The following is an 18,378-nucleotide window of genomic DNA, read 5'->3' on the forward strand; positions in this document are numbered from 1 at the left end:
TGGTGGTGAGTGCCTGTAACCCCATCTGATCCAGAGGCTGAGATGGAAGGATCACCTGAACCCAAGGAGGTTGAGGCTGTAGTGAGCCATGATTGTGCCACTGCACTTCAGCCTGGATGACAGAACGAGACCCTGTCTCAAAAAGAAAAAATAAAGATTAAAATTCACCCAGAAAACTCAGAATGGAAGGGAAGTTCCTCAACTTGATAAAGGGGATCTACAATTATCCTTAAGCAGACGTTGTACTTTATGGTGAAAGATTGAATGACTTCACCTGAAGTTCAAGAATAAGATCAGGATATCCACTTTCACCACTCTTATTCAACATCATACTGCAGGTCCTAGCCAGTGTAGTAACATAAGAAAAATTAATGAAATGCACACTGGAAAGAAAAGAACAGAACTGTTTTGGTTTGAAGATGACATAATTGTCTACACAGAAAATCCCAAGGGATCTACAAAGACGCTCCTAGAAATAATACAGTAGCCTGCTTCTGAAATGGCCCCCAATAGTCCCTGCCACAATGATCCCCTCCCTTTTGGTGTGAGAATAGAGCAGAAGTGATTGGATGCTACTTCTGAGATTACGTTATAAAAGACTGTGACTTCCATCTTGCTTGCACTTTCTCTCTTGCTGGCATTCTCTCTTGCTCATTCACTTTCTTGTTCTGATGAAGCAAGCTGCCATGTTGTAAACTGTCCTATAGAGAGGCCCACATGGCAAGGAATTGAGAGAAGCCTCCCACATCCAATGTGGGTCCCAGGCCTTCAATCCAAAAGCCAGCAAATTATATGAGCTGCATGAGTGAACATAGAAGTGGATTTTTCTCCAGATGAGCCTTAAGGTGGCTGCAACCTGGCTGACACCTTGATTGCAGCCTATGAAACATGCTGAAGAAGAGGATATGCTGTGACCCAATGCCTGATTCACAGAAACTGTGAAATAATGAATGTTTTTATAAGCTACTAATTTGGGGGATAATTTGCTATGCATTCACAGATAACTAAAATAATTATTAAGTGAGTTTAGCAAGCTCTTAGGATGCAAAGCCCATATGCACAAATAAATTGTGTTTCTATATAGTAGTGGTGGAAATTGGAAGTCAAAGTTTCAAAGAGTACCATTTATAATATCATAAAAAATCATAAAATTATAAATGTAAATCTACCAAATTATGTGCAGGAGCTGTATGCTGCAAACTTCAAAATACTGATGAAATAAATTAAAGACCCAAATAAATGGAGAGATATATCCTGATTATGGATTAGAAGAAGAATCAATATTATTAAGATGTCAGTTTGCCCCCAAATGATCTGTAGATTCAACACAATTGCAACCAAAACTCTCAGCAGGTTTTTTTAATCAAAAAGCTGATCCTAAAATTTATGCAGAAAGGCAAAAGAACTACAATAGCTGAAACAGTTTTGAAAAACAGCACAATTGGAGAACTCATAATACTGGAATTTAGGACTTACTGTCAAGCTACAGTAATCAAGAAGAATGGTATTGTTGGAAAGAAAAGTGCATATATGAATGGACATAAATAGAGGATCCAGAAATCAACAAATATAATCAATTAATATTTTTACTAAAAGGCATTTCAATGGAGAAAGAATAGTCTTTTCAACAAATGTTGGAAATCCACATTCAGAAAAAAAACCTGAATTCATATTTTACACCTTCTACAAAAATAAACTCAAAATGGAATATAGAGCTAAATTTAAAATGCAAAACTACTAAACTTCTGGAAGAAAACAGAAGAAAATCTTTAATGATATTGGGTTAGGCCAAGAGCTCTTACCTATGATGTCAAAAACCACAAGCCATAAAAAGAATGGGTAAATTGGACTTCATCAAAATTAAAAGCTTTTGCTCTTTGAACAACAGGATTGAGCCAATGAAGAAAAGCCACAGATTGATAAAGAATATTCAGCAGTAACATATTCAGTAAACGATTTGTATCCTGAATAGATAAAGAACTCTCAAAACTCAAAATAAGAAAAATGGCTAATTAAAAATAAGAAGTTATTTGAACAGACACTTCACCAAGGAAGATATGTAGCTATCAAATAAATAGACAATAAAATGTCAAAAAAAAACCACACAAAACAACAACAACAACAAACCACTTGCTGAGTGTGGTGCCTCACACCTGCAATCCCAGCACCTTGGAATGCGGAGGCAGGAGGATCGCTTGAGCCCAGGAGTTTGAGACCAGCCTGGGCAGCATGGCAAAACCCTGTCTCTATAAAAAATACAAAATTAGCTGGGCATGGTGGTGTGTGCCTGTAGTCCCAGCTACTTGGAGGCTGAGGTGGGAGGATGGCTTGAGTCCAGAGCCCAGGAAGTTGAGGATGCAGTGAGCCGAGGTCACACCACTGCACTCCAGCCTGGTTGACAGAGCAAGTCCATGTCTCAAAAAAAAAAAAAAAAAAAAAAAGAAAAAAAAAAACAGTACTTAGGAGTCTTACAGTAGAGAGGCTCAAAAGCAGACAGTTACCCTGAAATATGGCAAATAGGATGAAAGAGAATTGTAGGATCAAAAAAGGTGGTCAATTTAGTGTCAGAAAGCTTCCCAGAGGAAGTGACATCTAAGTGGGGATCTAAAAGATATGCAGGAATTAATCTCATTACAACCTGAGTGACAGAGTAAGACACTGTTAAAAAACAAAAACAACAAAAAAACAAAAACAAAAAAAGCATTTGTAGTAATTAACCAAAAGGATAGTAATCATATATCTTTAAGGAAAAAAATAAAAAATCATTGCTAGTCTAAATCTATTTTCATTATAAACCGAAAGCAACCTCAAATTGCCCCTTACCATTACATGATATTTCAATATATATGTTTTCATTCGTAGAGCTATTTGCAGATTAAAGCTAGGTTATAAATATGAGCTCATTCAATTCCTATACAGATAACAGACTTTAAGGCTGAAGTTAGGTGATCATGAAGACTTGAACTTTTAAACATTCTTATTGGTTTAGGAGCTCAGATCACACCCATTTTCCTTGTGGCCGATTGGCATGTTTTTGTCTGAGTTGACGCATCTGTGTGTAAGTGCAACTACCTCAAGAAATGGCTAACTTAAACGGTACCTTCAGAGGCACTGAAACGTGAATTATCATTCTACCCCATCATTGCATTTCAACTAACAATGAACTCTTGAAAAAAAAGATGATAAAGAGTTTTGCTTCTGCTAAATTCTACTTGAAAACACTGAACCTCTAACTGTCATTGTTCAAATAATTTTTTTCCGGCTTTCTTTTCCCATCCTGTTATCCTGTCATTGTATGTGTATTTGAGGTATCACATTTAATCTGTTCTGTCTTCTATTACTTTGAAGAAATTAGATATATATCTCTAATCTTTGTAAATAAATCAGTTACATAAAGATATATTATTCAGCTGTCAACACTGTCTAGAGGCAAGTCTTTAAGAAAGTTGTGTATAATTATTCGTATGTAGCTTTGCAGGAAATGACAATAATCATAGCTAACAGTTGTTATTCCTTACGTGCCAGGCACTGTTTTAAGCACTTTACATGTATTTCATCATTTAATTCTCGCAAACCATATGAGTTAGATTCTGTTGTCATCTGTAGTTTACATACAATAGAATAGAGGAAGAGGTCTATTTGGTAATTCACAGAAGGACACATAATTCGTATATTGTAGAGTAGGAATTTTAAACTGAGGCTCTGTGGCTTTTGAACCAATGTTTTTAAACACTGCAATAGATAACAAAGAAGATATTTCCCTCTTTGTCAAAGAAACTAAACCTAAGTAAATACCTACAAAGAAAGGTAGCAGACACAATAAAAACACCAACGTGTCCAGTTTTAATCAGATAGTAAGTTCATACACATAAAAGGGGGAGGTAGTGAGACTGAAGATGTATGAAATTATTGGACTAGAGTTGGGTAAAGATAGTTCAGGAAGACTTCACAGAGATGGTGAGACTGGTTAAATTTTGAAGAGCAAGGTTTCATTAGAATTTGAGTGCATTAACATGTCAAGAGCTTAGCAGTTGTTATCATTGTATTTTATTTTATTTTTATTTTTGTGGAGATGGGGTTTTGCTATGTTGCCCAGGCTGGTCTCAGACTCCTGGCTCAAGGTTATTTTAAATTCTCACAAAAACATAACATTATAGACATGAAAAGTGAAGATCATTCATTTGGCAATTATTTATTGAGCACCTACAGTATACCAAGCACACATCTAGGTTCTGTGTCTGGTGCACAAAACAAATTTTTGCCTTCATGCAGCTTACTTATTTCTCATTTAGGCAATAACTTGCCCAGGGTCACATGATTAGACTACTAGACAGCAAAGTCAGAATTGGAACCTAGATCTAGCTGATTATAACACATATTTTTATTTGTCATTATAGCATTTCAACACTCATAGTTTACATTTAAAAGGCAGGAGAAGATTTTGGGGGAGAATGAGGGACATGTAAACTTGATTAGAGGAAAATTAAAACTCAAATTGTTCCCTAGAATACCAAGAAGGTAAGTATGCTGTTTAAAGAAATGCTTCAAAATTGGCAGAAATGAAGGTAATTTTGTGAATTGGATCAGTGCCTCAACTGTTCATTTGGTGTCATTTGAGTACTTACTTCATAATATGCTTCAAAATGATTATTTAAAAATAATTAGGCCTTTGGGTGTCATTAAGGTACTTAGTTCACAGTATGCTTCAAAATGATTACTCTTGCTTCCATAAATATATAACTTTTTTGCAGTCATGTATTTCCACAATGACCTCTGATCTCTAGTTTGAAAATATTTTCTTGCTGTAATTTTCTTCACCCTTCAAATTCCTACTCACTCCAAATTTCTGGAAAGATCTGCTATGGTAAGATTCTTACCTGGGCTCTACTTTTCATTAAAATAGAAAACAAAAACAAAAAGGAAATAACAACTATAAAACGGAACTAATTTCAAAAAGACTAAGACCGTTAAACTTAAGAGATGCAAACTGATACCTGGGAGCAGACATATCAGATATATAACAGCATCTTCAAATTGCTAATGCAAGTGAGCATACACCATTAAATTTATTAAAGTTCAGACACTTTTTAATATAATGATACAGAAACTCTCAGACTTTAGATATTTAGACAATGAATAAGTTAGAATGAAATAAAGCACTTAAATCAGTAATTTTTGGATTTAATACCTTAGACAGCACATGTTTATTTTAGTACAACAAAGGCATGCACAAATCAGAAAAATATTCAAATATATTTGAAAATGTATTATGTAATTTGTGAAAATCTCAGTATCTCTTATGCAATAAGCTGCATTTTTACTTACAGCATTATTATTTTTTCTTGCTATTCTTAGAATATCTTCAGATCCCCTTCCAAGCCACCTAGTAAATGTTCTCCAGGTACCTTTTGATTCTCTCAAAAGAAAAGCGCATGCCTTCTGGTCCACTGTACCAGAATTTTAAGGCTCATGATCAATAACTAATTGATTAGTGCAATTCACCGAAGACTATCATAAACAAAGAGTAGCTGACATAGCTCTGTACATAAACACAGAGTAGCTGACAAAGCTCCATTTTTGCATACAGATTGGCAAAATTCCCAAGGGGCATTATAATGTTGCATTTAGTTAGCTACCACTGAAGTCACAATATCACCCTATTTCTCTCCCAACAGAACGCAACCACAGATGTTCCCATCCTCTGTTACCAGCCTAGCACCCCTTCTTTTTGTCACTCCCAGTTGAATTGCTAGTCGGCTTCATCCACAGTCAATTTTCGGAACCCAAGAAATTGTTTCAAAATATTTCTAAGTTCCATAGTAGCAATTAGATCTTCTAGGCTCATCTAAAAAAAAAACTTGTATTATTATGTAATATTTGATAACTATTAAAAATACATGATTCAGGACAAGATGGAGTAGACTCACTTTTCCCTGCTGATCTCCTCTAAATACAACCAAATACCCTTATAAATAATTTGATAGACATTTATAAAAAACACTCTGAAAATGCAAAGAAGATGAACTGGCTGGGGAACTCAATACTTGAAGAATGACACTCTAGTGACTTCCCTGTGGTTTTTTTTTATCTCCAGTACCCTCTCTGGGTACTGGAGAGGCCTGTAACTCAGGATCACCAACAGTTGTAGACAAAAACCAAAGAAACCAAAGCAGGAACTTAGAAAAAGACTCATATCCAGTGACAGGGTGGGCCCATCTCCCAATAGCAGTGGAAACAGTCCTGGGCACAAGACAATGCATTCCCCCTAAGATTAAGAATAAGGCAAGGATATCAATGTTCACCACTGTTATACAACATAGGACTGAAAGTTGTTTTAAGTCACCAAGTTTGTGGTAATTTCTTACAGCAGTCATAGGAAACTAATACATTTGTCTTCCTTTGTTGAGTAGCCATTGCAATAAGGCAAAAAGAGGCATATATATTAGAAAGAAAGAAGTAAAACAGTTCCCATATGCACATGATGTAATTGTTTTTGTAGAACATCTCAAAGAACCTACAAAGAAACTCCTAGAATTAATGAGTTCAACAAAGTCACAAGGGTATAAAATCAATGCACAGAAGTCAATGACATTTTTATATTAACAATGATCATATGGAAACTCAAAATAAAATTCAATATTATTTACTATCACTTAAAATACTCAGGTCTAAACATAATAAAATATGTGCGGAATTTATAGTTAACATTACAAAATGTTGATGCATGAAATCAAAGACCTAAATAAATCAAGAGGCATACCCTGTTCATGGATTGGAAGAGTCAACATAGTAAAGATATCAGTTCTTCCTCTATTAGTTTGTTAGAGCTGCCATAACAAACTACCACTTACTGGGTGGCTTAAACAACAGAGTTATTTTATCACAGTTTTGGAGGCTAGAAGTCAGAGGTCAAAATGTCGGTAGGATTGCTTTCTTCTAAGGTCTTTCTCCTTGGCTTTGTAGATGGCCATGTTCTTCTTGTGACTTACACATGGTCTTCCCTCAGTACTGTGTCCACTTTTCTTCTTCTTAAAGGATACTAGTCATATTGGATTAGGGCCCACCCTAATAACCTCATTTTAACTTAATTACCTCTCTAAAGGCACTACCTCTAACTACAGCCACATTCTGAGGTACTGGGGTTAGGACTTCAACATATGAATTTTAGGGGGACACAATTCAGCTCACAACACTTCTCAAATTTATTTAATGCAATTCCTACCAAAACTCCAAAAAGGATTTTAAGACATGATCAAGCTTGTTTTAAAATTTATATAGAAAGACACAGGTAGGTCCTTGAAGAACTAAAATAACCTTGAAAAAGAATGCATTAAGAGGAATCACTGTACCTGATATTAAGGATTACAAGACAGCTGCAGTAATCAAGATAATATCATATTTGCAGAGGAAGGGACACATAGATCAATGGAACAGAACAAAGAATTCAGAAATATACCCACATAAATATGTCCAATTGATTTTTGACAAAGGTGCAAAAGTAATTCAATAGAGGAACAAATGGTGCCAAAGAAAATGGTCCTCCATAGGTAAAAACAAATGAACTTTGATCTAACTTGATACCTATACAAAAATTAAAACAGACCATAGACTTAAATGTACAATGTAAAACTATAAAACTTTTAGAAAAAAAAAACACAAAATTTTCAGAATCTAGGGCTTGGGGTAGTTCTTAGATTTGACAGCAAAAGCCCAATCCATAAAATGTAAAAATGTGTAAATTGGACTTTATCAAAATGAAAAACTTTTGCTCTGCAAAAGAGCCCTTTAAAGGAATTGGAAAACCATCTACAGGGTGAGAGAAATATTTGTAAATGATACATCCAACAAAAGAAGAATGTATTAGTTTCCTATGTCTGCTGTAAAAAAATTCCACAAACTTGGTGGCTTAAAACCACGGAAGTGGCCGGGCACGGTGGCTCATGCCTATAATCCCTGCACTTTGGGAGGCCAAGGCGGGTGGATCACCTGAGGTCAGGAGTTCGAGTCCAGCCTGGCCAACATGGTGAAGCCCCGTCTCTACTAAAAATACAAAAATCAGCCAGGTGTGGTGGCAGGCGCCTGTAATCCCAGTTACTTGGGAGGCTGAGGCAGGAGAATTGCTTGAATTCAGGAGGTGGAGGTTGCAGTGAGCTGAGATCGCACCATTGCACTCCAGCCTGGGGGACAAGAGCGAGACTTCATCTAAAAAAAAAAAAAAAAAACACGGAAATTTATTGTCTCCCAGTCCTGGAGGTCAAAAGTCTGAAATCAGTACTATTAAACTGAAATCAACTTGTCTGCAAGGTCATGCTCCCTCCCTCCAGAGATTCTAGGAGAATATCCTTTCTTTGGGAGTTTTAGATTCTGGTGACTACTGGCATTCCTTGGCTTATGGCCACATCACTCCCTTCTCTGCCTCTGCAATCACATTGCCTTCTTCTCATCTTTTTGAAATCTATCTCTGCTCCCCTTCTCTGAGGATACAAGTGTTTGTATTCAGGGCCCACCTACATCATCCAGAATAATCTCTTCATCTTAAGATCCTTAACTACCTCTGCAAAGACTCCTTTTTATTGCCATATGAGGTAACATTCAAAGGTTCCAGGCATTTGGACTTGGCTATTTTTTGGGGGGTCATTTTTCACCCTACTACAACTGGTATATAGAACATATAAATAATTCTCAAATTTCAACAGGAAAAAACTAAATTTTATTTAGATAATGAGCAAAAGACCAAAAAACACATTTCATTGTACAGAATATAAAAGATGTTTGACATGAGTTATTAGACATTAAGGAAATGCAAATTTAAACCACAATGAAGTTTTGTAAATCCCAAAACTTTAAGAGGATAGCATGAGACCAGGAGTTTGAGGACAGCCTGGGCAACATTGCAAGATCCTATGTCTACAAAACTTAAAAAAAAATAGCTGAATGTGGGGGTGTGTGCCTGTAGCCCCAACTACTTGGGAGGCTGAGGCAGGAGGATTGCTTGAGTCCACGAGTTTAAGATTACAGTGAAGGGATCAAATCACTACACTCCAACCTGGGCAACAGAGCAAGACCTTATCTCAAAAAACCATACAAAACAACCCCCCCCAAATCACAATGAGATACTACTCCATATCTATCAGAATGGCTAGAATAAAAAATAGTGACAAAACTAAATGCCAAGGATGTGGAGAAACTGGATCACTCATACATTGCTGGTGGGAATGTAAAATGGGACAGTAGCTTTGGAAAACACTTTGGCAGTTTATTACAAACCTAAACAAACAACTAACATGCAATCCAGCAGTTGCACTCCTGGGCTTTTATCCCAGAGAAATGAAGATTTATATTTACACAAAAACCTGTCCACTGATGTTTATAGCAACTTGATTCTTAATAGCCCCAAACTGGAAACAACATTTAACAGGTGAACAAGCTGTGGTACCTCCATACCATGGAATACCACGCAGCAATAAAAAGGAATGAACTATTGATTCTTGCAACAATCAAGATGATTCTCCAGAGAATTACGCTAAGTGAAAAGTGCCAATCCCAAAACATGACATGCTGTATGCTTCCATTTATAAATATTTCTATGACAAAATTATAGAAATAGAGACCAGATTAATGCTTTTCAGGGTTTAAGGATGGGGAGCAGAGAAGGAAAGTGGGTGTGGTTATAAAAGGCCAACAGGATAAATCCAAATGGTGATGTTAATGTTCTGCCATCTTGGCTATATCAATGTCAATATCTTGGTTGTGCTATTTTATTATAATTTTGCAAGATGTTACCATTGCAGCAAACTGAGAAAAGGGCACATGTGATCTCTCGGCATAATTTATTGCAACTAACTGCATGTCAATCTACACTTATCTTTAAATAAAAATTTTAATTAAAAAATGTATATATAAGGCATATATAAGTTGTGAAGCAATCCAGACTCATTTCATACTAAGACCTGGAACTTCCATCTCTCAGGAGACCTTGATCTCTCTAGTGAGGAATAATACATAGAAAATATAAAAATGTATAATAATACATATATGTGTAATATATTATTTAAATGTTGGCAGCAGAAAATAGATATCTATATACAAATTGCTACTATTTTAGAAATTACATCCTTCAATGAGGACAATGTTTATAACTAAGGTTATAAAAATTTAAAAAACAACTGGAGTTAATGGTCCTTGTCATCATTCTATTATGGATTAACTCAGTTTTCAATTAAATTGTGAAAAGAAAACCCTATTTTCTCTAAATAATAGTCCATAGACTGTCACAGTACCACCAACTCCAAATTTATATTTCAATCACATCTCACATATTTTCAATAGAATTGTAATTTTTTTGTCACCAGTTTAGCCACAACTTCATAATCTTCAAAAACATAATGAAACAAACAAACAAAAACAAAACAAAACAAACAAACAAAAACAGGAGAACTCCAAAATGTATAAGGCCAAGTCTTTATCTTTCTTTTGTAAATTCTACTGCAGCCAAACAAGTACCCAAATCGTTCAGGTAAACTAGACACTCTGTGCCTATGAACTCAACTTGAAATTCTATAGTGATAGTGCTCCAAAAAGCCACCCAATAAAAACTAAAATCTCTGAAGGTTTGTATTCACCAACATAATTTTTTTCCTCGTCTGCTTAAAGTCACCAATATGTAGGTATTAAATAGTTCAAATGTGTTTAGTTCAAATTTTGCTAACAGAATTGTTATATTCTACAATTTCAATTTGCAATCATCATTTTATTGTTTAACAAAAACAATACCTAGCCTAAATATTTCTATTAATGCATATTAGGAAACCAATTGCCCTTGCCCTCTCTACTTCTTGCCAGCCTGCTAAGATACCTGTAAAGAGGTAGATGTGTGTTCTCCACCTTGTAAGGTTAGGAGGAATAAAACCTTAAAAAACATGAACACACATACACACAAACACACACACACACACAGAAATAATAAGCCTTTGCCCAGCCACATACCATGTAATCCTATGCCTCTTTTTCCTGCAGATTTGCTACTCTAAGTTTTAATAATGACCACACTCACATCATGAAATTATACACCAGTTTATTCAAATCAATGTACAAATTGAATATTATCACATTTATTTTGTTCATTGGAAAAGACAATATGTCATTTCAGTTTATTTTCATTTTTAAACACCAATATTTAAGTCTTAAAAGGAAATAAAAGTTTACAATAATGATGAATGTCAAACTTAAAGGTGTTTGTTATCTGGCTGGGCATGGTGGCTCATGCCTGCAATCTCAGAGGTTTGGGAGGCCGAGACAGGAGAACCATTTGAGACCAAAATTTGGGAACAGCCTGGGCAACATAGTTAGACCTCTATCTCTACAAAAAAAACCAAAAAAATAGCCAAGCATAGTGGCATGCCAGTAGTCCCAGCTACTTAGGAGGCTGAGGTGGGAGGATGGGTTGAGCCTGGGAATTCAGGCTGCAGTGACCTATGATCATGCCACTGCACTCCAGCCTGGGCAACAGAATGAGAACCTGTCTCTAAAAAAGAAAAGATGTTTTGTTATCTATTAGGCCTTTCAAAAATATATGGTTTTTTCTGAGGTTTTCAAGTTATATAAGACTTCTATGCCAGCCACCCTAAACAAAACAGAAGAAGCACAAATATTACTAAACAAATTAATGCTTCATTAACAAGCAAATCACCAATGGTGAAAAAAGAACACATTTAAATCAAAATCAGTACTGATACAGAGGTAAGAATTACATCCAGGCACAGACATTTGGAGTTATTCCCCCATGTTAAAAATTCCATCACAATGTGCAAAATAATTATTAAATCTTCTTTTTGAAATATATCCCCCCACTTTTGTTTTGCCTGATACAGATATTTTAACCTTAGGTGTACAGAACCCTATTAAAGAACCCAGATTACAATTTTTTATCATTTACATAACAGTGGCAGTTTTCTCCCATGTTCTTGCACAAAAAGAATTTATTTTCACATAAATTACACCCTGCATTTTTCAATAGTAGGAATAAAAAATACTCATGTTCAGGTTTACATATATTTACCATGACTAAATTGGAACAAATCAGCTCACAGCTTCCTCATGCCTACAGTTCAAATTAAATTTCCTCTTTTATATTCCTAGGGCTTCTCTAGTTGCATGTCAAACTTTTCAGATCAGCTGTCTTGATTCCTATCTTTTCCTCTCCTTGAAAAATAAGTGTATCTTCCATCTCAACCATCCTCCTTTTCAGCAGCTTCCATTTGATTGGTCTGGTAACTTACTATCATGAGTATCTTTGTGCTCAGAGGAGACATCAGGCTGCCTAGTTTACTAGATCTTCATTTATTCCTTCTAATTTTGTGGTCGCTCTGCTAGTAACACATTGTAAGGTTTAGACTCAATCTACCCCAGGCTTATTTAAAATTAAAACACGAGTATATATAAATATTAAGGTTATATGTTTAAAACTTAACTGCTTTGGCATATAAATTGCATCTATAAAAATATTAAATGAAAATTTGGCTTAAAAATGTAACCTAAATATAGACCTTGTAAGTTTAAAATAATCCTTGTCCTCAATTTTCTTTACCAAGTTTCCAAATATTTACATCATCTTTAACTTTCCACGGGGCCCCAATTCGTCAATCTCAACTCCTTGAGTTGTTTTTTTGGATTTTAAGTGCTTTGTACAAACTCATTGATGAGTGGAATGGAGCCATGCTCTCTGGTACCTTGCTTGCTCTAGGGTCTGATCTCTCTTTCTCACACTTCGTGGAGTAACAACTTCCCCATACACTTACTGAACATTGGAAATTACCACTTTATTCCCACTCCATGGCTCTACTCAACCCACCACATTACCATCAACTCAGATTCATAGATTAGGTGCCATATTAAATGATATGATACAGCAGGAACAGAAAACAGACATGCCTTCAAGGAGTTTACTATCTAGCTGGAAAAGTAGAGGCAAGACAGTAACAAAGATCTGGATGGCACCCTCACTTTGGAAATTGGCAGTCATTCATAAGACACAGATATATTCGGAGTAAGGAGAGGGAAGCAACTGGGAAAATATCCTTTCCAGTAATAAGCAAAAAGCAAGAGGCAAAAAGAAATGTTAACTATTTAAGTCACATACTTGCCCATCTATGTAGCTTTGCAGGATTAAACTACAATTTATTATTATTATTATACATTTCTATATGGTTTTGAAATGGTTGTTCCACAAAGGAAGGGTCCTCCAGAAAGTTTCTATAGCCTTCTTTTTGGGTAATTTTTGCCTACCAATATTTGAGGCTACCAGATGAAAGTAATTTCTTTTTCAAAGCAATTGGATTAATTTTTACAAGTACACGGAGTCAATTCTTGAACTTCTGATTCTCTATCTAGACATTATCATAAAATATCTGCTATGGAGCACTCATGATGCTTTCATATGTGTTATTTAATTTACCACAATGGAAATACACAACCCCACATCTTTTATTTTTTTCTTTTTTGAGACAGATTCTTACTCTGTCACCCAGGCTAGAGTGTGGTGGCACAATCACAGCTCACTGCTGCCTTGACCTCCTGGGCTCAGGCTATCCTCCTGCCTCAGCCTCCCAAGTAGTTGGGACAACAGGCATGTGACACCATGCTCTGCTAATTTTTTTTTATTATTTATTTGTAGAGATAGGGTCTCACTCTGTTGCCCAGGCTGGTCTCTAAGTCCTGGGCTCAAGCAATCCTCCCACCTCGGCCTCCCAAACTGCTGGAATTACAGGCATGAGTTACCACATCTGGCCCACATCCTCTTTCTAACAGCCATGATTTCTTTTCAGACAACAACATATTTATAATTCATTTGCAACACTTCAACCAAACTAGACATACAGAGGATGTGGGAGACATAGGTTTCTCACTTCATTACTAGCATGCAACCCATGCAATCAAACATCTGTGCCAGAAGTAGATTTTAGGTTACTTTGTTATGGAAATGCATTCTCCATTTTAGTAGCATTTTTTTTCTTAATTAGAGGAAGTGCTTTCAGAAATTGCAAATTACATAATGTAATTACAGCCATTTTAATGAACTAAAGCAAGTAAACATCAATATAATTTTAAGATATTTAAAATTCTTTATAGTTTTTTGCTTATCTTTCTAAGTTAGGGCTAGTAGTAATAACTACCTAAATAATTTGAATCCCTTGAGAATGCAAATGTATTAGGCTTGGTTTTCTGTTCACCTGAGTCAAAAAACCTGTGGATCAGAAATAAGTCTGGTAGCTAAAATTCCTGTGGAAGTTATAAAAGGGTTGTTTTTTATCAAAATATAAGATTATCTATGTAAAAAGGAACTAACCAACCGGTTAAGTATGTTAATTGGAATTTGGAAGGATTTGAGAACTGGAAGGGAGAGAACTAAAATTGTTGACTAGTAACTTTGTAAAGCCCTAGACAACAATCAACCCATTTCATCTTTACATTAAAAATAATTATCATTAACTGAGAATATACTATAACCCCAGGCATTCTGCAAAAAATTTCACATGCGTTAACTCATTTAACTCTTCCAAACCCTTTCAAAGAAATGTGTATTATCTATTTTTTCATATTTTAAATAAAGGAAAGTAATGTATAGAAGAGATAAGTAATGTGTCCAAGACCTTAGAACTTTTCAGTAACACAACTGATTATTAAGCACAGGCCTATAAAACTCCAAAGTCCTTGTTTGTAGTCATTGCTTCATGTTATATGTCACTTAGAATGCTCCTTTAATGAATAACTACATTAAAACATAGAACTGATAAATAAGGCACCCTCCCCCCAAAAGATTACTCTCTATCTCTCTCTCTCTATATATATATATATGTGTATATATACATATATGTGTATATATACGTGTATATATACATATATGTGTATATATACGTGTATATATACATATATGTGTATATATACGTGTATATATACTATATATACACATATATATAGTATATATACTATTTGTACACATATATGTGTATATATACATGGTTTTCTAGATATATATGCATGACAGTGAATTATCTTTGAAATTTAATTATTCCATTAAAATGGAATATATGCTTATAAATCTTTCTGGATTTTGTAATTTTGTCTTCATTTATTTTGAAGAATGCCTTAAATCCAAACCCCCTTTTGCTAGAGATTTATGCCTTTTTGTAAAAGATAGATATTGTCAAACCTAGACCAGAACTATATTTGGGAAAGAGGGTTTGGGAATGGATCTAGAAAGTGTAGATCCATCATATTTTCCACTGTCATCCCTGGGGATTTTCAAGGATTCCATCAAAAGTTACTCACTGGAGTCCAAGTTGTCCTAAATGTTCTCAAAACATATACAGTTTATGAAAATAAACATGCAATAAATAAAATCTCCCTGATTTCTTCGAATTGGTTAATGAATAGCAGAAGACAATCTTCTCATATATATTAATACCTCCAAAATTTGTATAACTAGAGGTCATTCTCAAAGTGAAACAATTTTCTTGTGTGTATAAAGGTGGTACCATATCCCTAGATAGATGGCATATTAAGCCCTAGGGTATTGGAACATATTGTTATAGTGGCTCTTTGGCTGAATTTTGCCTGCAGATAAATTTTGTTTTGGCCTAGCCAACAATTTTTAAACTTTATCATTTGAATACATTTTAAGAGTGAGTTCCAACTTTGCTATCTTTTCTACCACTCCCCATCTTCTTATACCCAGCTGTCCTACCCACTGATATTACCTACCTGGTCCCTAAAAGTGTTTACATTTGTGATGGGCATCACAGCTGTGAGCACAGAAGAAATAGCTTTCATGTTGATACTCCACATTCACCCCTGTGCTAACAAAGGTCCTCTAGCCCTCTAGAAAAAGTACACTCATTTTCCCCTAAGTACTTCTAGAAGTCACCAGTGGTTCTCTCGTGTGATCATGAGCAAATCAATTTTCATCATGCACTGCTGCAATTATTCTGGGCTTTCATGGAGCACACATGTATCCACCATCACCCGTCATCATTCATAGTATCTGCTGGGCATTCATCATCTACCACTGGGCATCCATCATCTCCCATTTGGCATTCATCATCTCCCACTGGGCATCCATCATCTGCCACTGGGTATCCATCATCATTTGCTCGGCATCTGCTGAGTACCGCCATGTCTGTTGGGCATCCACAGTCTCCCACCAGGCATTGTGGTCTCCGCTGACGCTTTGCCATTTCGCCACCGGTGCCTTCCATGAGAATGCTGGTTACTTCTCCAGAGTGCTGTCACCCGGGGCTGCCAAATCTACAAACCCTCAAGATACCAGGTGTGCTGCATTTGCGTCAGTATTCATTGTACTTAGCTGTGTTCCTTGCATAAATTAGGAAAATGCCCCTTTATAACTGTGGCACATTTTGTTATCTAAACATTGAAAAAGCAATACTTGTCCCTGTCCCCTTCACAAAGTCCCTCTGTAAAACAGCTATCTCTGTTTTATCTTTCTTTGTTACTTATGGTTATCATCCACAGGGCTTACATATTCCACAGGGCTGATCTTGAGTCTATACACTGATGCCTTAATTCCTGTCCTCAGGCATTCACCCAAAAAACATCCCTCTGAAAAGCTTAGCAGGTAACTTGTCAGCCTTGTGTACTTGTATATACCTAGCATCTACTCCTATATCTGGTCTTTTTCTTTTTAATGGATAGATGAAGGCCTCCTTCCTCTTTGCAAATCAGTTCATGAGGTGATATTCTTGGAAATTCCCAGGCCCACATATCTTCACCTGTGAATCATTACTTTGGGTTTGAAATGTCTTCTCCCAATATCACTTTTCCCTTTAACAATATCCTTAATCACTTCACTGCGGGATCTTTATCCTAGAGAAAAAAATTTCTTTACCGGGTAAGTTTCCATTCTAAATACAAAAAGAATAATGGTATCAGTATATTTAAATTATAATGACATATGTGGAAGAATACAGTCCAGAGGTCCTGATTTTTGTTCTTATATCTAGAGTCTTCTACCTCTGGTTATCCTTTGCTGTTTCTCTCTTCTATCCTCCTTAGAAATGTACAACTTTGGCTGGGTGCGGTGGCTCATGCCTGTAACCCCAACCCTTTGGGAGGCCGAGGCGGGCAGATCACCTGAGGTTGGGAGTTCGAGACCAGCCTGACCAACATGAAGAAACCCTGTCTTTACTAAAAGTACAAAACTAGCTGGGTGTGGTGGCGCATGCCTGTAATCCCAGCTACTCAGGAGGCTGAGGCAGGAGAATCTCTTGAACCCAGGAGGTGGAGGTTGCGATGAGCCGAGATCGCACCATTGCACTCCAGCCTGAGGGCAACAAGAGTGAAACTCCATCTCAAAAAAAAAAAAAAAAAAGTAAAAGAAATGTACAACTTTTACATATTAATTACTGGTTTAATTCCCCAATAAATGCACAAAATAAATAAATAATGTAATTGTAGTTAACATTCCAGTTCTGGTTGCAAAAATAATTTCACTACAGGCAGATAGGCAGCACTGTCAAAGCTAAATAACAACGGCCAACACTTGAGTTTTTGCTCAGGGCCAGACATTGTTCCAAGTATTATACATGTACTATCCCTATTTAATACATAAAGAAAACAATGCACCAAAAGTTTAAATGCTATCAGTATTCTACTGCCAACAATGGGACGCACCTCCTACGTTTTCTTCCTTAAGAGGAGACATCCTCTGTCTTCTCAAGAAAGATTAGAATTCCCTCTGTAGTGTCCAGTTCTGGTGATTTGAAGATTCTCCTCATTTTCCTTTTTCTTCTTAAATCTCACTCCTTCATGGAATCAATCTTTCTTTCTTTCTTTCTTTCTTTCTTTCTTTCTTTCTTTCTTTCTTTCTTTCTTTCTTTTCCTTCCTTCCTTCCTTCCTTCCTTCTATCTTTCTTCCTTCCTTTCTTCCTTCCCTCCATTCATCCCTTCCGTCCTTCTCTCTCTCTTTCTTTCTTTCTTTTTTCTTTCTTTCTTTTTTTTTCTTTCCTTTCTTTTGACAGAGTTTCACTGTGTTACCCAGGCTAGTTGTGAACTCCTGGGCTACAACAATCTACCCACCTCAGGTTAACAAAATGCTGAGAATACAATCATGAGCCACCATGCCCAGCCTTGGAAACTTTCAGTGATTTTTATATTGTCTGCTAATGTGCCAATTCCTAGAGAGCTAAGTTCTCAGTCCTTACTTCATGAACTTTTCCCTCAAAGCCTGTATGTCTATGCCAAGAGCCTTTTAACTGGGTTGAATGATGGTGGTGAAGGAAGCTATTATAACAAGTACTATAATAGCTAACTTTAATTGAACACTTACTCTGTCCATTTATCTTATTCAATCCACACAACCAACAT

At 36.0% G+C, this 18,378-nt stretch overlaps 1 protein-coding gene, 1 long non-coding RNA gene and 1 other non-coding gene across 5 annotated transcripts in view; 2 read left to right on the forward strand and 1 right to left on the reverse strand.

Annotated features, from left to right (window-relative positions):
- The window catches only part of HTR2C (5-hydroxytryptamine receptor 2C), a 325,976-nt gene that overhangs the window by 162,950 nt on the left and 144,648 nt on the right, over window positions 1-18,378 (forward strand). The window lies entirely within an intron of this gene.
- LOC105373313 (uncharacterized) overlaps window positions 1-18,378 on the reverse strand; it is a 96,198-nt gene that overhangs the window by 29,542 nt on the left and 48,278 nt on the right. The window lies entirely within an intron of this gene.
- MIR1911 (microRNA 1911) lies at window positions 16,149-16,228 on the forward strand. Its single transcript, NR_031732.1, has one exon. It is a non-coding gene; the product is annotated as a microRNA 1911 (primary transcript).

The sequence above is a fragment of the Homo sapiens genome, chromosome X (assembly GCF_000001405.40).
Source record: "Homo sapiens chromosome X, GRCh38.p14 Primary Assembly".
Taxonomy (NCBI): domain Eukaryota; kingdom Metazoa; phylum Chordata; class Mammalia; order Primates; family Hominidae; genus Homo; species Homo sapiens.